The sequence below is a fragment of the Homo sapiens genome, chromosome 3 (assembly GCF_000001405.40).
Source record: "Homo sapiens chromosome 3, GRCh38.p14 Primary Assembly".
NCBI lineage: Eukaryota > Metazoa > Chordata > Mammalia > Primates > Hominidae > Homo > Homo sapiens.
In genome coordinates, this window is record NC_000003.12 from 183866327 (window position 1) to 183889183 (window position 22857).

General features: G+C 44.1%; 1 protein-coding gene, 1 non-coding gene and 1 pseudogene across 12 annotated transcripts in view, besides 4 other annotated features; 2 read left to right on the forward strand and 1 right to left on the reverse strand.

The window, feature by feature from the left end:
• The window catches only part of PARL (presenilin associated rhomboid like), a 58392-nt gene extending 39838 nt beyond the window's left edge, over window positions 1–18554 (reverse strand). For 10 of the 11 annotated variants that reach the window (NR_136893.2, XM_017006802.2, XM_017006801.2 and 7 more), the window contains exons 1-3: window positions 18396–18554; window positions 1539–1734; window positions 299–439 (exon numbers count right to left, since the gene is read on the reverse strand). Coding sequence is in view for 9 of the 11 variants with exons in the window: in XM_017006802.2 (XP_016862291.1) it covers window positions 299–439; window positions 1539–1734; window positions 18396–18520 (462 nt within the window). In the remaining 2 variants the exon portion in view is untranslated. Of the gene's footprint in view, window positions 1–298; window positions 440–1538; window positions 1735–11825; window positions 11962–18395 lie in introns of those variants that run through there. The other variant, XM_024453628.2, reaches the window with a different exon arrangement.
• Window positions 18314–18473: a silencer, noted in NCBI's record as "silent region_14951". NCBI's record gives its function as "represses an Ori minimal core promoter by ATAC-STARR-seq in GM12878 lymphoblastoid cells {active_cell/tissue: GM12878}" and the evidence as "EXISTENCE:reporter gene assay evidence [ECO:0000049][PMID:35858748]".
• Window positions 18584–18734: a silencer, noted in NCBI's record as "fragment chr3:183602698-183602848 (GRCh37/hg19 assembly coordinates)". NCBI's record gives its function as "represses an EF-1alpha promoter that drives an FKBP-Casp9 reporter gene in an ReSE screen in HepG2 liver carcinoma cells {active_cell/tissue: HepG2}" and the evidence as "EXISTENCE:reporter gene assay evidence [ECO:0000049][PMID:32094911]".
• Window positions 18684–18733: an enhancer, noted in NCBI's record as "active region_20897". NCBI's record gives its function as "activates an Ori minimal core promoter by ATAC-STARR-seq in GM12878 lymphoblastoid cells {active_cell/tissue: GM12878}" and the evidence as "EXISTENCE:reporter gene assay evidence [ECO:0000049][PMID:35858748]".
• Window positions 18774–19003: an enhancer, noted in NCBI's record as "active region_20898". NCBI's record gives its function as "activates an Ori minimal core promoter by ATAC-STARR-seq in GM12878 lymphoblastoid cells {active_cell/tissue: GM12878}" and the evidence as "EXISTENCE:reporter gene assay evidence [ECO:0000049][PMID:35858748]".
• MIR4448 (microRNA 4448) lies at window positions 20474–20559 on the forward strand. The gene has a single exon (NR_039650.1). It is a non-coding gene; the product is annotated as a microRNA 4448 (primary transcript).
• On the forward strand, window positions 21196–22211 carry RPSAP31 (ribosomal protein SA pseudogene 31; annotated as a pseudogene).

A 22857-nucleotide genomic window follows, 5' to 3' on the forward strand; every position in this document is an offset into this window, starting at 1 on the left:
ATGTTGCCATTAACTAAAAGCACTTCATAAATAACCAGGCTTCAAAACCTGGGATTACCAGTAGAGTAACTACAGTCAACTATAATCTATAGTACATTTCAAAATAGCTAGTGGAGAACAATTCAAATATACCTAGCATAAAGATAAATGTTTAAGGTGATAGATATTCAGTTCCTCAGATTTCATTATTACACATTATGTGAATGCATCATGTACACTGAAAACACGTGCATCTATTAAGTATCAGTTTTTTAAAACCGTGATTAACTAGAAGAAAGAAAGCAGTGTTTATCTTTACCTCCTTTCTGAAGTCTCCTTCTTTTTGTGGTCTTATGCTATCCAACCAATCAGCTTTTATACCATCAAAATAACTCTGGACCCTGGATTTCAGTGATTCATATTGCCAAATAGCAGCTGATCCAAATGCACAGCCTGTAAACTATATAAAATTAGATATATTACAAAATAGATTTAAGAGGGAAATAGATCTATACATTATTTCCAAGGAGAATTCTTCACTGTCATTGCTTTTTACAAACCAACAGAAGGGAATACTTGGCACAGTGAAACCTAATAAGTGAAAAGGGCTTTTTTTTTTCTTTTTGAGATGGAGTTTCACTCTTGTCTCCCAGGCCAGACTGTAATGGTGCGATATGGGCTCACTGCAACCTCTGCCTGCCAGGTTCAAGTGATTCTCCTGTCTCAGCCTCTGGAGTAGCTAGGATTACAGGTACCTGCCTCCAGGCCCGGCTAATTTTTGTATTTTTAGTAGAGACGGGGTTTCATCATGTTGGCCAGAGGGGTCTCGAACTCCTGACCTCAGGTGATCCACCCACCTTGGCCTCCAGTGCTGGGATTACAGGCATGAGCCACTGTGCCTGGCCAAAAAGGACATTTTATTGTTTCCCATTGTATTAACTTCACAATACCCTGGGGCCTGTTTCCAGCTATAAATCCTCAAATAAAACTGAAAATACCAACTTAGCACCGCTTGAAATGCTGTACCAAACAAGGCCCATATGTTTATTCTCTAGGGCTTACATAAGTAAGCCAGAATTTAATAATAAAAGCAATTTTTAAGTTCAGACTCTAGGCCGGGCGCAGTGGCTCACTCCTGTAATCCCAGAACTTTGGGAGGCCAAGGCGGGCGGATCATGAGGTCAGGAGATCGAGACCATCCTGGCTAACAAGGTGAAACCCCGTCTCTACTAAAAATACAAAAAATTAGCCAGGCGTGGTGGCCAGTGCCTACAGTCCCAGCTACTTGGGAAGCTGAGGCAGGAGAATGGTGTGAACCCAGGAGGTGGAGCTTGCAGTGAGCCGAGATCGCGCCACTGCACTCCAACCTGGGCGACAGAGTGAGACTCCGTCTCAAAAAAAAAAAAAAAAATTCAGACTCTATAATTAGAATTCATGAGCCCAGCTCTTTTTGATCCCCCCTCTACCTGTCCTTACTTTAAGGGAGCCCAAATGGGACAAAGTACTTTAACACTGCATTTCTAGCAAGGTAGGTAACTCCTAGCAAAGTGAGCTCTTACCCCAACAGTAAAAAATAAAGGTTTTATGAGACTCCTTATAGGATAGGGAGAAGGATAAAAGACTGTTTCTTCCACAGGAGGAATCAAAGCACTTCTCTTGTATGCTTCACCACTTGTCCCTGGGTCTGATCTTCGAGGTTCAACCTTCCTGGGTGCTTTTCTGAATCCGCATTTTTGTTGAATAAAGAAGTTAAACCTATGGGGCAAAAATAACAGATGAGAAACACAGTAGCGTCTTGCAAATATCAACTTCTATGAACCTCCACTTGGCCTGCATCATCACCATCTCAATTTATTCTCACTCTACAGTCCAAAAACAGCCAAGACTCCTACTCTCAGACAGAATTCAAAGCCACAAAATTCAACCTTTCTGGAAAAGGTGACACACAAACTACAGCAACTTCAGAGGATACTACTTTGGGCTATTACTTTCTATCAGTCAACAAAATAATTTGTATCCATTCTCCACACAGAAAGAATCTGAAGACCTGGTAAAAAGCTAGAGAACTCTATAAATTGTCCGTTTCTTTTTTTTTTTTTGAGACAGGGTCTCCCTCCGTCGCCCAGGCTAGAGTACGATTACTCCCTCCCTCTGTCGCTCAGTGGTACGATCATGGCTCACTGCAGCCTCCACGTCTCAGGCTCAAGCGATCCTCCTGCCTCAGCCTCCCAAGTAGCTGGGACTACAAGCGTAGGCTACCACATTGTTAATTTTTGTACCTTTTGTAGAGATGGGGTTCTGCCATGTTGCCCAAGCTAGTCTCAAACACTTGGGCTCACACAATCCTCCTGCCATGGCTTCCCAAGGTGCTAGGACTACAGGCATGAGCCATGGTGCCCCACCAGTTGTCAGTTTCAGTCAGAATGACTTCTGGTTTTTTGTTTAAAGTTTGGTCAATTTCTGGAACAAATATTTAAATGTATTGTCCTTGAAGCCACTCCAAATTCAATAATTATTTTCTTTTCTAAGTATTGCCCATTATAAATTAAAACACTCCTCTCACCTCTCCCCTTTATTTCACTGTTTTGGGGACATCCACCAAATTATTTGTGAGCTGTTACCCCAACAGTTAAAAAAAAATTTTGTTGTTTGAGTCTACAGCTTGACTTCCTCAAAATATCTAACACTACTGATCATGCCTCCTAGTCCTAGCTTCTGTAACAGCACTTCCTACTCTTCAAATTCATCTTTAACTCCCGGTATCTTCCCCTTTTCCTCTACCCCATTCAAACTCAACCCATATAAATTCTTGAAACAGTCTTCTTTTTCTTTTGTAAAACTGTAACTTTCCCAGGTCACAAAGTAAAGATCCCTTTCTGTTTGTACCCTGAACATATTATCCCTTCTTATAATTATTCTGAGACAGAGTCTTATTCTGCCACCCAGGCTGGAGTACAATGACATAATCTTGGCTCACTGCAACCTCTGCCTCCCCAGATGCAAGTGATTCTCCTGCCTCAGCATCCCTAGTAGCTGGGATTATAGGCACCCACCACCACACCTGGCTAATTTTTGTATTTTTAGTAGATATGGGGTTTCACCATGTTGGTCAGGCTGGTCTCGAACTCCTGACCTCAGGTGATCCACCCGCATTGGCCTCCCAAAGTGCTAGGATTACAGGCATGAGCCACTGCGCCTGGCTATACCTTATTATTATAAGGGATAATAATGTATATTATTATTATTAAGGGATATTATGATATCCCTTCTAGAAGGGATAGTATGTTCAAAGATATTATATATATAACGAACAATATTCAGTGAGGAATATCATAACATATTATCCCTTCTACTAGCCTCAAAGCTCCTCAAAAGCAGAGCTCGGGTAGGTCTTTTGTCTTTGTATCCCAGCCCCTAAAACAAGCTATTTGGTTGAATTTTTGTGACCTGAATGACTTCTAAGCATGTAAATGATTCAAATTTATTTTAGTCCTAACCTGAACTTTCTACTCCAGTATTTCCAACTCTATACTGAATAATGCTACTTGGATATGCTCCCCATTACTTTAAAACCAATATATTCAAAATAGAATTAACTCATTCTCCTCTACAAACACCTCCATTTTCTGACGTACTCTTTCAATAAGACCACAGTTCTCTCAGTTACTGAGGTTAAAAATCTAGGCTGGGGGCCGGGCACAGTGGCTCACGCCTGTAATCCCAGCACTTTGGGAGGCTGAGGCAGGTGGATCACGAGGTCAGGAGTTTGAGACCAGCCTGGCCAATATGGTGAAACCTCGTCTCCACTAAAAATACAAAAATTAGCCAGGTGTGGTGGTGCACACCTGTAGAGTCCCAGCTACTCGGGAGGCTGAGGCAGAAGAATCGCGTGAACCTGGGAGGCAGAGGTTGCAGTGAGCCAAGATCACACCACTGCACTCCAGCATAGGTGACAGAGTAAGACCTTGTCTCAAAAAAAAAAAAATCTAGAAGTCATTTTGGAGTTATCTTTCCTTTATTCTTATTCAATTAAAAGCCAACTCTATCAAAAATACTTTTAAAATTCCTAGTCTAGTCCTTTATCTCATACCTGGATCATGGCAACACTTTCCTTAACTTCAAACACTTTAACCTGTTGCATGTTCTTCTGGCCTCACACTGCTTTTCCTCCACATTCTATAGTTTCTCAAATGTCCTCTCAGAGGGCCAAAAATCTCTTCCTAATTCTAATGCAACTCCTTAGCTCATCCCTTCTGGCCTGGAATACGCCACCATTTCCTAGCAGATCTCCTTGCTTCCAGTACTGCCCCACTCCAAGTGCATCCTTCACATTGTATTAAGCACAAATGTAATGTTCCCTTGCTTTAAACCCCACAATAACTTTTCATCACCCCATCAAACTCAGCACACATCCCTTCAATCCGACCCCTTCCTCTCTCTTGCCACTTCCTCCCTCTGCCACCTCAAATCCTCTCTATACCTGTTATACTGACTTTCTTGCAGTTCCTATGATCTGTTTTGCTCTCTTAACTACGACAATGCTACTCATATTTTGGTATATACTTCCCTTTAACTTTTTTGGGCCCTTCAGATTTCAGTTAATATATCTCCTCCTCCAGGAAGTCTTCCCTAGCTGCCCCAGGCTGGGTACTTCTCTCCTTTGCACTTCTAGAGTTCCAAAGCAGTTTTTTTAATACTTATCTCCACTACTGCCCACGCCCCCATTAGATTACAGTTTTATATTCATTATATCTCTATCACCAAGTCTAGTCCCTAATAAAAGGTCAATAATTATCTGTCAGAATAAAAAAGGGATCAAAAAATGATTAAGCTTTATTGTGAGTAACTCAAAGTAAGATGGTACTATACTCAAAGTAAGGTGGTACTATACTCAAAGTAAGGTAGTACTATACTGAAAGTAAGGTGGTACTATTCTCAAAGTAAGGTGGTACTATACTCAAGGTGGTACTATACTCAAAGTAAGGTGGTACTATATTCAAAGTAAGGTGGTACTATTCAATAAGATAAGGAAAATTGGAAGCCTCAAAATAGGCAACTGGGAGATAAGAGACGAACAATTCCAGCTGGGGTGCTGTTTAAAATGCTTGCAGTCATGGCAGCTTCATTCCTCTAGCTAAAAACTGAAACTTAAATTTCCATTAACAGGAGAAATTCTGTGGTATATTCATATAATGGAATATTACACTTGGCCAAAAAAAAAAAAAAAGGCTTGGGGGGGAGGGGTGGGGAAGAACTAATCATACATCATGGATAACTCTCAAAAACACTTTTGGCAAAAGAAGTAAAATACAAAAGAGTACATGATATGTGATTCTGTGACTTCCATTGCTAAGAAGTTGACAGACACACTAACCTGTAGTGATAAATATTAGATGAGCGATTGCCTGGAATGGGTGGGGCTTGACAGGAAAGGAGCAAGAGGAAACTTGCTGGGATGACGGCCATCTTTATCTTGATTTAGGTGATAGTCACACAGGTGTATACATTAATCAGAATGCACTGGCTGTATATTTAATACTTATACATTTTACTATATGTAAACTGTATCTCAATAAAGTATTTAAAAGAATGCTCATAGGACATCCAGGTGGAGGTATCTTAATAGGCATTTTGGAAATAAATGAAACTCAGAATAATAGCATAGCTACTACTACTATTACTTGCCTAGAATGCATTTTTTTTTTTTTTTTTTGAGATGGAGTTTCGCTCTTGTTGCCCAGGCTGGCATGCAATGGCGTGATCTCAGCTCACTGCAACCTCCACTTCCCAGGTACGAGCGATTCTCCTGTCTCAGCCTCCCAAGTAGCTCGGATTACAGGCATGTACTGCCACACCTGGCTAATTTTTTTGTATTTAGTAGAGACGAGGTTTTACCACGTTATTCAGGCTGGTCGCGAACTCCTGACCTCAGATGATCCACCCGCCTCGGCCTCCCAAAGTGCTGGGATTACAGGCATGTGCCACCATGCCTGGCCTAAGAATGCCCTTTCTCTTCAACACTGAGTCCACTCAATTCAACTCAGAAATCACAGTGAGGAAAGTGATTATAATTTGACTTGAGATTTTAATTTCAGAATTTATACTTCCAAATAAGTGATATTCCTTTCAAAGAAATCTATTACAGAAAAAGCAGAAAAGGTTTGAGTAAGTTCATCTATTTTGGAAAGTTATAAACTTATGCAACCAATGGTACTGTTGCTCTAAATGGCTCTTAACTCCCTTCAGAGCCTGTTACCAGTCTTATAACGAATATCCTTTAGCAAACCCTGTTGAATAGCTAATCCCAAATCTATTTCCAACCCTTTCCCCTTGCCTGCTTTTTCTGTAATAGGAAATATCTTCACTTTTCCAGGCTCCCCTAGAGCTAGTGGTAACCATATCACACAGGATTACAGCCAAATGAAACATAAGAATTTTTCAGGAGCCCCTTGGAAAGGTTTTGCTTACCTGATAAAAATGGACACGTCACTGATGTCAAGCACACCCCCTTCTTTCTGCCTTAAATAAGAATATAATGCCTAGAGACGAGGCAGTCATCTCAAATGCCAAGAGAAAGGCCAAGGGATTCAGACACTAACCTTGACATTTTTGAGCCACTGAGCAAAGACACTAGCCACTTACCTCCCATCATCCTATATTTGATAAATAACTCCCCTTCTTATTTAAACAACCATCAGTTTATTTACTGCCAAATGTATTCCTGGTATAATTTTTAAAGTGGTAGATGTTAACTTTTTGCAACTGGATTTGATTTAAAGATCCCAAAGTAACCTGGAGATAGGTCTAGTAAGTAAAGTCGCAATTAATTAATCAAAACAAGTAATGCCACTTTGGGCCAAAACAAAGGTGTATCATAAAGTAATAGGAATATATTTACCATAAAGATGACAAGTTGACAGCCGGGCATGGTAGCTCACGCCTGTAATCCCAGCACTTTGGGAGGCTGGGGTGGGAGGATCACCTGAGGTCAAGAGTTCGAGACCAGCTTGGCCAACATGGTGAAACTCCATCTCTGCTAAAAATACAAAACTTAGCTGGGCGTGGTGGCGCACGCCTGTATTTTGATTACAGGCGTGGTGGCACATGCCTGTAATCCCAGCTACTCAGGAAGCTAAGGCAGGAGACTCTCTAGAACCCAGGAGGCAGAGGTTGCAGTGAGGCGAGATCACGCCATTGCACTCCAGTGTGAGAGCTCCTGAGTGACAGAGCAAGACTCCGTCTCAAAAAAAAAAAAATTAATTAATTAATTAAAGATGGCAAGTTGTAACCCAGTAATCTTGGTTCCTAGCATTTGTCATGTACTGGACTGAGAAATACAAAGGATAAGAAATACAAAGGATTTGTATTTCCAACAGCTTAATACTACACAATCAATTCTAATAAAAAACTACTTCTACCTGTCACCAATTCACTTAAAATTTTGAAGCACAAGTTTTAAAAGGAACATAAACACGCTAGGTTGGGAATCTGGACTTGAGGCAAAGCCAGACCTTTTTGCCTAAAATATATACCTCGAGGATCTCACCAGAAGTGTGCATCAAGCTGAGGACATTAAGAGTACATTACACAAGCTGGCCCCAGGGTTAAGTTCAGAACTTATCAGTAGGTACACATACTGAATACATCACACACAGGCATACCTCGATTTATTGTACTTCACAGATATCCCAAGTTTGTTACACAAATTGAAGGTTTGTGGCAACCATACATCTAGCATGTCTTTTGGCACCATTTTTCCAACAGCATGCGCTCACTTGGTGGCTCTGTGTCACATTTCCGTAATTCTCACAACACTTCAATTTTTTCTTATCTGTTATGGTGATTTGTGATCAGTGACCTTTGATGTTACTACTGAAATTGTTTTGGGTGCCATGAACCATGAGACAATGAACTTAATAATGTTGTGTAGGTTCTGACTGCTCTACCAACCAGCCATTGCCCACCTTTCCCTCTCTTTGGACCCCCCTATTCCTTGGAACACAACAATATTGACACTGGTCAATTAATAACCCTACAATCACCGCTAAGTGTTCAAGCTGAAAGGAACAGTCACATGTCTCTGGCTTGAAATCATTAGAAATAATCTTTTTTTTTTTTTTTGAGATGGAGTTTTGCTCTATCACCCAGGCTGCAGTGCAGTGGCGCGATCTCGACTCACTGCAACCTCCACCTCTCGGGTGCAAGCGATTCTCCTGCCTCAGCCTCCCAAGTAGCTGGGACTACAAGCACCTGCCACCACACCGAGCTGATTTTTGTATTTTTAGCAGAGATGGGGTTTCGCCATGTTGGCCAGGCTGGTCTCGAACTCAAACCTCACGTGATCCTCCCGCTTCGGCCTCCCAAAGTGCCCAGCCAATTAGAAATAATTAAGCTTAGTGAAGAAGGCATGTCAAAAGCTGAGATAGGCCAGGAGCTAAGCCTCTGGCACAAATAGCCAACTTGTAAATACAAAGAAACAATTCTTGCCAGACATGGTGGCTCACAGCTGTAACCCCAGCACTTTGGGAAGCTAAGGCAGGAAGATCACTTGAGTTCAGGAGTTTGAAACCAACCTGGGCACCATAGTGAGATCCTGTCTCTATAAAAAATTTAAAAATTAGCCAAGTGTGGTGGCTTGCGCCTATAGTACTAGCTACTTGGGAGGCTGAGGCAGGAAGATCACTTGAGCCCAGGAGGTCAAGGTTGCAGTGAGCTACAAATGCATTGCTGCACTCCAACCTGGATGACAGAACTAGACTCTGTATCAACAACAGCAAAACTACTGAAGGAAATTTTAAGTGCTACTCCTGAGAAGAGAAAAATAGTAGGCTGGGTGTGGTGGCTCCCATCTGTAATCCTAGAACTTTGGGAGACCAAGACGAGAGGATCAACTGAGGTCAGGAGTTCGAGACCAGCCTGGCCAACAATGTGAAACTCCATCTCTACTAAAAATACAAGAATTACCTGGGCGTGGTGGCGGGCGACTGTAATCCCAGCCACTGGGGAGGTTGAGGCAGGAGAATCGCTTGAACCTGGGAGATGGAGGCTGCAGTGAGCTGAGATTGTGCCACTGCACTCCAGCCTGGGCGACAGAGCAAGACTCTGTCTCCAAAAAAAAAAAAAAAAAAAAAAATAGAGTAAGAAAGCAAAACAGCCTTATTGCCAACATGGAAAAAATTACATGAATAGAAGATCAAATCAGCCACAACATTCCCTTAAGCCACAGCCAATCTAGAGCAAGACTAACTCCTTCAATTCTATGAAGGCTGAAAGAATTGAGGAAGCTGCAGGAAAAAAGTCTGAAGCTAGCAGAGGTTGGTTCATGAGGTTTAAGGAAACAAGCTGTCTCTATAACACACAAGTACAACTTGAAGCAGCAAGTGTGGATGTAGAAACTGCAGCAACTTATCAAGAAGATCCTAAGATGAAGGTGGCTACACTAAACAGATTTGCAAAGCAGACAAAACAGCCTTCTATTGGAAGAAGATGCCATCTAAGACTTTCATAGCTACAGGTGAGGAGGCAATGCCTGGCTTCAAAGCTTCAAAGGACAGGCTGACTTCATTAGGCACTAATGCTGTTGGTGACTAAGTTGAAGCCAATGCTCATTTACCATTCTGAGAATCCTAGAACCCTTAAGAATGATGGTAAACTACTCTGCCCGTGCTCTACAAATCGAACAACAAAGCCTAGATTACAGCACTCCTGTTTACAGCATCGTTTATGGAATATTTTTTATTTGTTTATTTTTACTTTTTGAGATGGAGTCTCACTCTGTCGCCCAGGCTGGAAGTACAGTGGCACTATCTCAGCTCACTACAACCTCCGCCTCCCAGGTTCAAGCAGTTCTCCTGCCTCAACCCTCCGAGCAGCTGGGATCACAGGCGCCTGCCATCATGTCCGGCTAATTTTTGTGTTTTTAGTAGAGATGGGGTTTCACCGTGTTGGCCAGGGTGGTCTTGAACTCCTGATCTCAGGCGATCCGCCCGTGTTGGCCTCCCACAGTGCTGGTATTATAGGCGCAATCCACTGTGCCCAAACGGTTTACCAAATATTTTAAGCCCAATGTTGCGACCAAATGCTGAGAAAAAAAGATTCCTTTCAAAATACTACTGTTCATCGACAATGTATCTGGTCACCCAAGAGCTCAGATGCACAGGTACAAGAAGATGAATATTGTTTTCATGCCTGCTAACACAATGTCCATTCTGCAACCACATACATCAAGCAGGAATTTCAACGTTTAAGTCTTATTATTTAAGAAATATATTTTCTTTTTTTATTCCCCTAAGAAATACATTTTGTAAAAAAAAAAAAAAAAAAAAAAAAAAAAGAAAAAGAAAAAGAAAGAAAGAAAGAAAGAAAAAGAAATATATTTTGTAAGGCAATAGCCACAGAGTGATTTTTCTGATGGATCTGGGCAAGGTAAACTGAAAAGCTTCTGGAAAGGATCTACCATTCTAGATGTCATCGGGAACACTCATGATTCATGAGAGGAGGTCAAAATACCAACATTAACAGTTTAGAAGAAGTTGATTACAACACTCAAGTATGACTTTGAGGGGCTCAAGACTTGAGTGGAGGAAGTAACTGCAGATGCGGTAGAAATAGAAAGAGAACTAGAGGCTGGGTGCAGTGGCTCATGCCTGTAATCCCAGTACCCTGGGAGGCCGAGGCGGGCGGATCACCTGAGGTCAGGAGTTCGAGACCAGCCTGGCCAACATGGTGAAACCTCATCTTTATTAAAAATTCAAAAAAATTAACTGGGCATGGTGGTGGGTGCCTGTAATCCCAGCTACTCAGGAGGCTGAGGCAGGAGAATCGCTTGAACTAAGGAGGCAGAGGTTGCAGTGAGCCAAGATCGTGCCATTGCACTTCAGTCTGGGTGACAGGAGTGAAACTCCATCTCGAAAAAAAAGAAAGAGCAAGAGAACTAGAATTAGAAGTGGAGCCTGAAGATGTGATTGAATTGCTGCAATCTCATGATCAAACTTGAACAGATGAGAAGTTGTTTCTTATGGATGAGCAAAGGAAGTGGTTTCTTGAGATGGAATCTACTCCTGGTGAAGACACTGTGGACACTGTTGAAATGACAACAAAGGATTTAGATTACATAAACCTAGCTGATAAAGCAGCAGCACGGTTTGAGAGGATTTACTCCTACTCTGAAAGAAGTTCTACTGTGGATAAAATGCTATCAGACAGCATCACATGCTACTGAGAAATCTTTTGTGAAAGGAGGAGTCAATCAACGTGGCGAACTTCATGTTGTCTTATTTTAAGAAATTGCCACCGCTACCCCAACCTTCAGTAACCGCCACTCTGATCAGTCCACAGCCATCAACAGAGGCAAGACCCTCCACCAGCAAAAAGATTATGACTCACTGCAGGCTCAGATGATTATTAGAATTTTTTAGTAATAAAGCATTTTAAAATTAAGGTATCTACATCTTAACAAACCACTCTAAAATGCACTGGCTTAAAACCATAATTTATTACTTTTTTTTTTTTTTGAGACAGTGTCACCCAGGCTGGAGCGCAGTGGCATGATCTCGGCTCACTGCAATCTCCACCTCCCAGGTACAAGCAATTCTCCTGTCTCAGCCTCCTGAGTAGCTGGGACTCCAGGCACACACCAGCACACCTGGCTAATTTTTGTATTTTTAGTAGAGATGGGGTTTCATCATATTGGTCAGGCCGGTCTCGAACTCCTGAGCTCAAGTGATCCACCCGCCTTGGTCTCCCAAAGTGCTGGGATTACAGGCGTGAGCCACCGCGCCCAGCCCCAGCCAGTACTCTTGACTGCTTAATCAGAGCTGGAGAGTCTCAGATGGCTTCACTCGTACCTGGAGCCTTAGTGCTGGTTGTTGTCTGCTTGCTCTTTCACCGCCCAGTCCTTGGTGTTCAGTAGTCTAGCGGGGGCTTCTACCATGACAGAGGGAGTGTTCCAAGTGGGCAAAGGCAAAAGCTGCAAGGTCTTCTGAGGCCGACTCTGGACCTTGCACAATATTACTTCCACCACATGCTACCGATCAAACTAAGCCGCAAGTCCAACCCAGCTGCAAGGAATAGGGAAGTTGACTCCAGCTTTGGATAAGAACTACAAAATATTGTGGCCATGGTGTTTTATCTACCACACTAGATGTGGCAGAGGCAGTTATGCTTCCTAGTCTAGAGCAGTAATTCTCAATTCTGGCTATACATTAGAACTGCCTGGTGAGCTCTTAAAAGTCCTACACCATGGCTCTACCTCATAACAAATGAGAATGTCTAGGAGTGGACCCAAGGCCTTAGTAGTTGTAAGACCTCCCCAGGTGATTCTCATGTGCCGCCAGAGTCAAGATCTATTCATACCACAGGTTTGGGGAAACTTTAGTTTACATACAAATCACCTGGAAATCTCATTAAAAACATTGTAATTTAGTAGGTCTGGGGCAAGGTGAGTCTGAGATTTTGCATATCTAAACAAGCGCCTAAATTAGGGGTTGTCAAACTGCGGCCTATAGAGTGGATTTGAGTCTCCAACTAAGAATGGTTTTCACACGTTTAAAGAGTTGTTTAAAAAGAAAGAGAAAGAATATGCGACAAAGACCACATGCGGCCATATTTTCTATCTGACCTTTTACAAACTAAGTTTGCCAAACCCCTGTCCTAGATGATACCCAAACTGCTAGTTCATGAACCACTTGGAATAGCAAGGAGCTAGAACCTGATTCCTCACTCTTCCAACAATACTTGTACTTAAATTAGAATGGTTTGTTGTCCCACAGATTAATCCTATCTAGGTAACCAAATAAAGAATTCCAATACAAATGTTTCACTACGACTTACTCCCAGCATCCATGCCCTCTTCTCCTTTTCCAAACCATACTCTAGAATTTCCAGCCATTTCATTTGATGAGACACACCAAGCCCACGATTGGCTTAAGCCAAATTTCACATCCCATTCCTTGGCAACTTCAAGGGATTCAAGGATGGGCACCTGTCCCAAGTTAGGCCAATCTGGTCCAGTGAAATTCAATTTCAAGATTTTGTTTGTGATAACGGAGAAGACAACTTTTTTTTCTGCTAGATTTGCACCTAAAAATATATAGCCCCAAGAGCTGCTGGCAGCCATCTTATAACCACAAGGAGATAGCATGCTGAGAGAATAAAGCCAACATTTAGGAAACAGAGACAAGCCATGGAGAAAATGGTGTCTGGTGACAATTTGAGACACTGGACTTGTCTCGCTAGAAGCCAGTCCTACCTCTACACTTTTGAACTTCATAAACCAATAAATTCCCCTAATTGTTTAGGTCAGTTAAGAGTTTGGTTTTCTATTGGAATAAGGATGCTTTTAGATGTAGTATGTTTATTACATATTATATAAGGTACATTTTCTCTTTTTAATGAGCTTTCATTTTAAATTTCCTTTTTTTGGTGGGCGGGGGGAGGTCCTCGCTCTGTCACCCAGGCTGGAGTGCAGTGGCACCATCTCAACTCACTGCAACCTTCGCCTCTAGAGTTCAAGTGATTCCCCTGCCTCAGCCTCCCAAGTAGCTGGGATTACAGATGCCTGCCACCAGGACTGATTTTTTTTTTTTTTTTTTTTTTTGTATTTTTAGTAGAGACAGGGTTTCGCCATATTGGCCAGGCTGGTCTCGAACTCCTGACCTCAGGTGATCTGCCTGCCTCGGCCTCCCAAAGTGCTCCCAAAGGATTACAGGAGTGAGCCACTGCACCCAGCCTTAAATTTCTTAAAGTGTGAAACAAGCAAAAGCATGATAAATGTCCCTAATTGCAAATGTTTGCTATCTTATTCACAGGTTTAGGTTATTCACCTCTTCCCAATCAGATGGGTATATAAGACAGGGAAATAAATTACTTACCTGAATAAGTTGGAAAACAAAGTGAAGCGCCGCAATAAAATGGATGGGGATGGGAAAGAGGGTCCCTTGAGGCATATGACAACTCACGACAGCAGGCCTGCCTTGACTCTGCTGCTTTGGTCCTTCTGCCAGGAACTAGTGATTTGGGGAAGCAATCAAATGTGCTCAAAGTGGGAGGATGTCATGAATACTTAAGTTGCCACCAGCCACAGTTATAGTTCAGTTTTTTTTTTTCCGTTTTTAAGACACAGTTTTGCTCCTGCTGCCCAGGTTGGAGTGTAATGCCGTGATCTCGGCTCACTGCAACCTCCGCTTCCCGGGTTCAGGCGATTCTCCTTCCTCAGCCTCCCAAGTAGCTGAGATTACAGGCGCCTGCCACCACACCTGGCTAATTTTTGTGTTTTTAGTAGAGAGGGGGTTTCACCACGTTGGCCAGGGTGGTCTCGAACTCCTGACCTCAGGTGATCCACCCACCTCAGCCTCCCAAAGTGCTGGGATTACAGGCATGAGCCACTGTGCCTGGCCAGCTCAGACTTTTTTTTTAATACAATCCTATAACTTTTAAGAAGAAAAAGTTACACCAATATATGTGTTCACCTAATAGTTACAATACAGTCTCATAAATGTTTTGGTTTTTTATTTTTTGGGTCTTTTTTTGAGACAGGGTTGCACTCTCTCACTCAGGCTGGAGGACAGTGGCGCCCTCATAGCTCACAGCAACCTTCACCTTCCGGCCTCAAGCAATCCTCCTCCCTTAGCCTCCCACGTGGCTGGGACCAGAGGCAGCACCACCATACCCACTAATTTTTTTTACTTTTTGTAGAGACAGGAGTCTCCCTATATTGCCCAGGCTGGTCTCAAACTCCTAGACTCAAGTGATCTTCCTGCCTCAGCCTCCCAAAGTGCTGGGACTGCAGGCCTGTGCCACCGCACAGCCTTTGTGCATTTTTTTTTTTTTTTTTCAGATGAAGTCTTGCTCTTGTCCCCCAGGCTGGAGTACAGTGATGCAATCTCGGCTCACTGCAACCTCTGCCTCCTGGGTTCAAGGGATTCTCCTGCCTCGGCCCCCCGAGTAGCTGGGATTACAGGCCCCTGCCACCGTGCCTGGCTAATTTTTGTATTTTTAGTAGAGACGGGTTTTCACCATGTTGGCCAGGCTGGTCTAGAACTCCTGACCTCAGGTGATCCACCCGCCTCGGCCTCCCAAAGTGCTGGGATTACAGGCGTGAGCCACTATGCCCAGCCTGTGCATTGTTTTTAAGAGTGCAACGGTAAAGACAATACAACTTAAATATACAGGTCAGTGTTAATGTTTATGTTACTCAAGATTTGTATGAACAAATTAAGTAGAAATGGCCTAATGTTCAAATGGAGACAAAATGTGTCTAAGCACACACAATTGATTAGATTCATTCCACTTAAAACAAAATAGAGCCCGAGGCATGGTAGTGTGTACCTGTAGTCCTTGCTACCAGGCAGGCTGACGCAGGGGGATCCCTTGAACCCAGGAGTTTGAGGCTGCAGTGAGCTATGATAGTGCCACTGCACTTCAACCTAGGTGACAGAACAACTCGCCTCTAAAAAATACAAAAGATACTGGGCGGGAGGATGGATTCTACATAAACTCTGGCATAACAAAATTATTTTCTTGACCCCATCGTGAGTTAATAGATGGTCAGTTAAAACAAAATATAATATATACGATTGACTAATATGTCAAGTATCTTACTTAAAGATATTTTGAGGCTAGGCATGGTGACTCAAGCCTGTAATCCCAACACTGGGAGGCAGAGGCAGGCAGATCACTTGAGACCAGGAGTTCGAGACCAGCCTGGCCAACACAGCAAAACCCCGTCTCTACAAAAAACACAAAACTTAGCTAGGCATCATGGTGGTGCATGCCTGTAATCCCAGCTACTCGGGAGGCTGAGGCAGGAGAATCGCTTGAACCCGGGAGGCGGAAGTTGCAGTGAGCTGAGATCGTGCCACTGCACTCCAGCCTGGGAAACAGAGCAAGACAATGTCTCTAAAAAAAAAAAAAAAAAAATATATATATATATATATATATTTATATATATATATATATATATATTTATATATATATATACACACACACATATATATACACACACATATATACACACATATATACACATATATACACACACATATATACATATATGCACATATATACACACACATATATACATATATATGCACATATACACACACATATATATAGAGAGAGAGAGAGAGAGAAAGAGAGAGACTATCATCTCAATATAAACTTTCCATACAAACGGCAAGTTTTTTAAAAATATAAAATGTTAAGTGTTACAATTCAACTATTTTCTTCCCTTGGATAGTTTCATATAACTGGCAAATTAAACAGGTTTCCACTTTCAAGCCTCAAACCTTGGTAACAGTAAAGTTTACAAGGAGCCCAAATAAGATTTTTTTCCCCTTTTGTGTAAAAGGCCAGATAGAAGATATTTCGGTCTTTGTGGACTACTGAAATCTGTCACATATTACTATTTTTGTTTTACAATCCTTTAAAAATGTAAACCATTCTTGGCTGGTGGGCCGCCTTGGGCCTGCAGTAGTTTTCAGACCCTAGTATCACCACCTAGAGTGCTTGTAAAATGCAAATTCCTGGTCCCACTTCAGGCCTATTATTAATACATCAAATGACACGGATTGGGTCATTCTTCTGCACGCTAATTTCAAAGCCATAAGAAGTCAACATATAGCTAATAAAGGTTATATATAAGGTAAACTGATACTATTAACTTTAAGAACTTATTACCAGAGGCAAATGCTCTATTTCAGGCCTACATTCTCATGTATATTTTTTATGCAACCACGAAAATGTCATTTTCAAACTTTCTATACAAATGGCAAGCTTTTCAGACATTAAATACTAATCTTCAACATTTCATGTGTTTCTGGTTCACTGTTTCAAATGGTCTTTATACTCAATTTTTACTAGAGGCTCATTAGTTTTCTTTTGCTTCCCCTTCCTAAAACCAATACGGTGATGTGTACATAAATCTTAAATGTTTAACACACTTCCTGTTGCTTCCTAATACACGTACAGTATTTATTTATTTTACATGGAGTCTCACTCTGTTGCTCAAGATGAAGTGCAATGGCACGATCTCGGCTCACTGCAACCTCCGCCTCCCAGGTTCAAGCCATTCTCCTGCCTCAGGCTCCCGAGTAGCTGGGATTACAGGCGCCCGCCACCATGCCCCGCTAATTTCTTGTATTTTTAGTAGAGACGGGGTTTTGCAATGTTGGCCAGGCTGGTCTTGAACTCCTAACTTCAGGTGATCCACCTGCCTCAGCCTCCCAAAGTGCTAGGATTACAGGCGTGTGAGCCACCACGCCCGGCCAGTATTAATCTTTTCTTTCCCCCTTAAACCATGCAATCTCAAATGGGATTACCACCTCCATCTGTCCTCATTTTCCACCTCCCCAGGAGTTTAAGATTAGTGCCTGACAGATCTATGTTAGTGTATGAAGATACAATGTATGTAAAGTTTTCACAAGTCCCTGATAAAATTCACCTGGAATGCTTGTCGGACATATAGGTTCTTCCACTCCACCCACCCCTCTCCTGATTGTGATTTGGGAGGACTGGGGTGAGGCCTGGGACATAAAATCCATACAAACTCTTCAGGTGATCCTTGAGATTAGGCAATGGCTCCGCCACATTAGAGCCTCGATTATTTACCACTGACTATCCCACGTGTTGATAAACAATGTTTCTTATCAGCAATCAGGTGGATTCGAGGCACCCATCTAACCAAGTCAGAAATTGGAAGGAATGAAGTTTTGAACAAAAGAGGAGGAAAATTTTCAAAGCCAAATGCACATCAGATTCTTAAACAGGTGAGGAATTTCTCTCTTCTCTCTCAAATTAGAAATGAATTACTGTGATGCAAAAATCAGCAATACTGATCAACCATACGCTTCACACTTCTACTCGGAAGGTTCGGCAGTTTTCTTTCCAAATCAACCGGAAACGAAATCTTCCACTGTCTCAATTCAACAATAAAGCCTCTCCTACGACTTTGCCAGACACAAAGTGATACCTTCCATCAGACTTCGTCCTCCCTTAGATCACAAGCTAAAGAAGGCGACTGGTTGTAATGGAACACAACCTTTATAATTAGATGGAAAAAGAATAAAAACCGCCATTCTGCCAGCTGTACTAACTTCTTCACTTCAGAAACTGGCTCAACAGTTTCCACTCGCGATTATGAAGTGTGGCACGCAATGAACCCTCAGCTTAGTTCCCCTTCCAGTCACGTCCTTCCCAATGGGAAAGGAGAAAGCGCAGGCTCGCGGGGGGCTGGGCTGGGCAAGGGGAGCGAGAAGCGAGGACTGGACGGAGGCGAGAGAGGAGAGAGAAGGGGCAGGTAAGGTGAAGGGGGTGAGCTGGGGCCAGCACAAGAGGCCCAGACGGCCTCCGCCCCCGAGGATACACGGCCAGAGCTCAGGGACCAAGAGGCGAGAAGACCAGAGCGCGGCGGCTATTACCTGCGTCCGAGGAGCTGCGGCGGGGTTAGGACCGCAGTGAGCTCCTCGCAGCTGCGGCCGCCCACCGACGCACCCCACGCCTGGCCGCAGCCCCAGCCTCTCTGCGCCCAGCCTCGCCACGCCATCTTCCCAACCTCTGCCCCACCATGGCCCGACCTTACCAACCCCAGCTGCGCAACTACTTCCGGGGCGAAGGCAACACCATAGAGCACGAGGAGCAGTCTAGAGCGCCCCCGCGCGGCTGAGCGGCAGCCGAACCAGCCACGGTGCCCGGACGACTGGCTGGCGCCCTTCTGTCCCACCGCTTCCCCTCCCACTGCTCAGCTGGCTCCGGGAGCGACCTGCGAGAGTGGCCCGGCCTCCCGGCATTTGCAGATGAGGAGGATGGGGCCAGAGCGAAGAGGGACAACTGTCATTTTTTCGAGTAACGGCACATACCAGGCGCTTTGCCTAAGATCGCATTTAATCGTCACAGCACTGCTAGAGGTAGATGTCATCACTGTTTCACTTTGCCTCTGGTCAGAGGGGATAGGACTTGCCCGGAGTTGCAGGGCTGGTCCCTAGAGGAACCAACGTGGCAAGCCAAGTTTTCTTAAATTACTACTTTTTTCTGCATCTCACCACTTCGTGTTATTCTGTATGCCTTTAACAAAGTCCAAGCCTATCGGGCGGGGTGGCTCACCCCTTTAATCCCAGCACTTTGGGAGGCCGAGGCCGGCGGATCACCTGAGGTCAGGAGTTCGATACCAGCCCGGCCAACATGGTGAAACCCCGTCTCTACTAAAAATACAAAAATTAGCCGGGCATGGTGGCAGGGGCCTGTAATCCCAGCTACTCAGTTGGCTGAGGCAGGAGTATTGCTTGAACCTGGGAGGCGGAGGTTGCAGTGAGCCGAGATTGGACCACTGCACTCCAGCCTAGGTGACAGAGCGAGATCCGTCTCAAAAAAATTACAAATACAAATACAAAAATTAGCTGGGCGTGGTGGCGCAAACCTGTAATCCCAGCTACTCGAGAGGCTGAGGTGGGAGAATCACTTGAACTCGGGAGGTTGCAGTGAGCCGATATCGTGCCAGCCTGGGCAACAGAGTGAGACCCTTTCTCATAAATAAATAAGTAAATAAACACAAAATCCAAGCCTGAAATGAAAAGCGGGCTTTCACTTTTTCATAATCCATCCCTCAACTACCTGTCAGTTAGCTTGATTCCCTGCCATTCCATTCCCCCCGACCCTAGCTGCAGCCATACAGTCATTGGCCATTACTCAAAGGCACCATCCGCGTTCCCACTGCTGAGCATTCATGCTACCGTTCTCACCACTTGAAACATCTAACCGACTTGTCCTTCAGGTCAGCCTCAAGTGTCACCTCTTCCAGGAGGCCTTTCCCAGACCTCCACTCCAATTTAGATTCCCTTCCTTTGTACTCACATACCGCTTTATGCTTATCTCTGCAATAGCACTTCATTCATTCCATAAGCTCTTATTAAGCACCTACAGTGTGTCAGGTGATATGTTAAACCTGGGGATACAATTGAGAAGACACTATATCTGACCTCACAAAGATTCTATTGTATTGGGGGAGAAGGCTCTGTAGGAGTCTAGAGAGGGGGGATATAGCCCAATTGAAGGAAGGGGCATGGGAGGCTCAGGGAGAAGGCTTCCCAGAGAAACTGATAGAGGTCACCAAGAGAAGAGGATTGAAGTGTTCCTCAGAAAGAATAGCATTTGTGATGTCTCCCAGCGCACGACTTGTTTGAAAAACTAAAATAAATTCACGCCTTTTCCACACAACCCAGAGAGGGGCCCATACGGCATTGTTCTAGATTCTCTGTGGGCGGCAAGCCATCCAGGTGCCGAGGCAAGAGACCAAGGGCACGAGCTGTTCCAGTATAATAAAATATATAAAACAACAAGAGTTATACTAGATCTAGATCATAGACGTGATTATATATGAATATCATTAATCATCAGTTTGTAGCAATTATTCTTTATTCCAATATTATAATAATCCTCGCTCTATAATCATAACCTAGGAAAAACCGGGCCATACAGAGGCAGGAGCTGAGGGGACATAGTGAGGAGTGACCAAAAGACAAGAGTGCGAGCCTTCTATTATGCCCAGACAGGGCCACCAGAGGGCTCCTTGGTCTAGGGGTAATGCCAGCGTCTGGGAAGATGCCCGTTGCCAAGCAGACTGTGGTCTAGCGGTAGCATGTCAAGGAAAAACACCTGCTACTTAGTAGTCCCTGGGGGAGTTTAGAGAAGACTCTACTCCTCCACCTCTTGTGGAGGGCCTGACATTAGTCAGGCTTTCCCGCAGTTATCCGGAGGCCTAACCGTCTCCCTGTGATGCTGTGCTTCAGTGGTCACGCTCCTAGTCTGCCTTCGTGTTCCATCCTGTACACCTGGCTCTGCCTTCTAGATAGCAGTAGCAAATTAGTGAAAGTACTAAAAGTCTCTCATAATGGTGTAAGTTGTTTCTCTCTTTGTCTCCTCTCTCTCTCTGCCTCGGCTGCCAGGCAGGGAAGGGCCCCCGTCCAGTGGACACGTGACCCACGTGGCCTTACCTATCATTGGAGATGGCTCACTCTCCTTATCCTGCCCCTTTGTCTTGTATCCAATAAATATCAGTGCAGCCTGGCATTTGGGGCCACTACCGGTCTCCGTGTCTTGGTGGTAGTGGTCCCCCGGGCACAGCTGTCTTTTCTTTTATCTCTTTGTCTTGTGTCTTTATTTCTACGCTCTCTCGTCTCTGCATGTGGGGAGAGACCCACCGACCCTGTGGGGCTGGTCCCTACAATTCTCATTGTAACTTAAAGGGAAACTTTCACAATGTCTAGAGCCCTTGATGTCCTGCAAATGAAGGAGGAGGATGTCCTTAAGTTCCTTGCAGCAGGAACCCACTTAGGTGGTACCAACCTTGACTTCCAAATGGAGTAGCACATCTGTAAGAAGAAAAGTGATGGCGTCTACATCCTACATCTGAAGAGGACCTGGGAGAAGCAAGAAGTTTCTGCTGGCAGCTCGTGCCATCGCTGCCTTTAAAAACCCTGTTGATGTCAGTGTCATGTCCTCTAGCAATACTGGCCAGAGGGCTGTGCTGAAGTTTGCTGCTGCCACTGGAGCCACTCAAATTGTTGGCCGCTTCACTCCTGGAACCTTCACTAGCCAGACCCAGGCAGCCTTCAGGGAGCCACGGCTTCTAGTGGTTACTGATCCCAGGGCTGACCACCAGCCTCTCACAGAGACATCTTATGTTAACCTACCTACCATTGCTCTATGTCACACAGATTTTCCTCTGCGCTATGTGGACATTGCCATCACATGCAACAACAAGGGAGCTCCCTCAGTGGGTCCGAGCTGGTGGATGCTGGCCCTGGAAGTTCTGCGCGTGTGTGGCACCATTTCCCTCGAACACCCATGGGAGGTCATGCCTGATCTCTACTTCTACAGAGATCCTGAAGAGATTGGAAAAGAGGAGCAGGTTGCTGCTGAAAAGACTGTGACCAAGGAGGAATTTCAGGGCAAATGGACTGCTCCAGCTCCTGAGTTCACCGCTATTCAGCCTGAGGTTGGAGACTGGTCTGATGGTGTACAGGTGCCCTCTGTGCCTATTCATCAGGTCCCTACTGAAGACTGGAGTGCTCAGCCTGCCACAGAAGACTGGTCTGCAGCTCCCACTGCTCAGGCCACTGAATGGGTAGAAACAACCACTGAATGGTCTTAAGCTGTTCTTGCACAGGCTCTTAAGCAACATGGAAATAACGTTGATGGAAAATACACATCAGTTTCTAAAAAATAAATTCACTTTGGTTATATCAGAGGTGTCAAGTCTGGGATTTGATTTTACCCTATTTGCAAGCTAAAAGATTGGATGTTGGCAAAAGACAGGAGACTCCTGGGTCAGAGACAAAACACTTTATATTACCACGGCATGTTCTCCAAGTCCCATGGTGGCAATGCCATGAGCCAAATGGATGAAGAACATGCAGTGGATTTGCATCTCAACCAAAGAATACTGAGCCTGGGGAATCTACTGTTTAATAGTGAGTTTTTATAGTAAACAAGCGAACAATCTTGAAAGGTAGAGATGTTTTCCTCAAGAGCAAAGGGCAGTTGGCTTATAACCTTGGAAGAAAGATAATATCACCCTAGAGAGCACAGGCTTGTGTGCTGCCTATCATAAAAGATTCTAATGCCATGACGGGGCATAGGGGCTCATGCCTGTAATCCCAGTATTTTGGGAGGCCGAGGTGGGTGGATCACTTGAGGCAAGGAGTTCAACGCCAGCCTGGCCAACATGGTAAAACCCCATCTCTACTAAAATTAGAAAAATTAGCCAGGCTTGGTGGCACACGTCTGTAGTTCCAGCTACTCAGGAGGCTGAGGCAAGAGAATCAGGTGAACCCAGGAGGCAGAAGTTGCAGTGAGCCAAGACTGTGCCACTGCACTCCAGCCTGG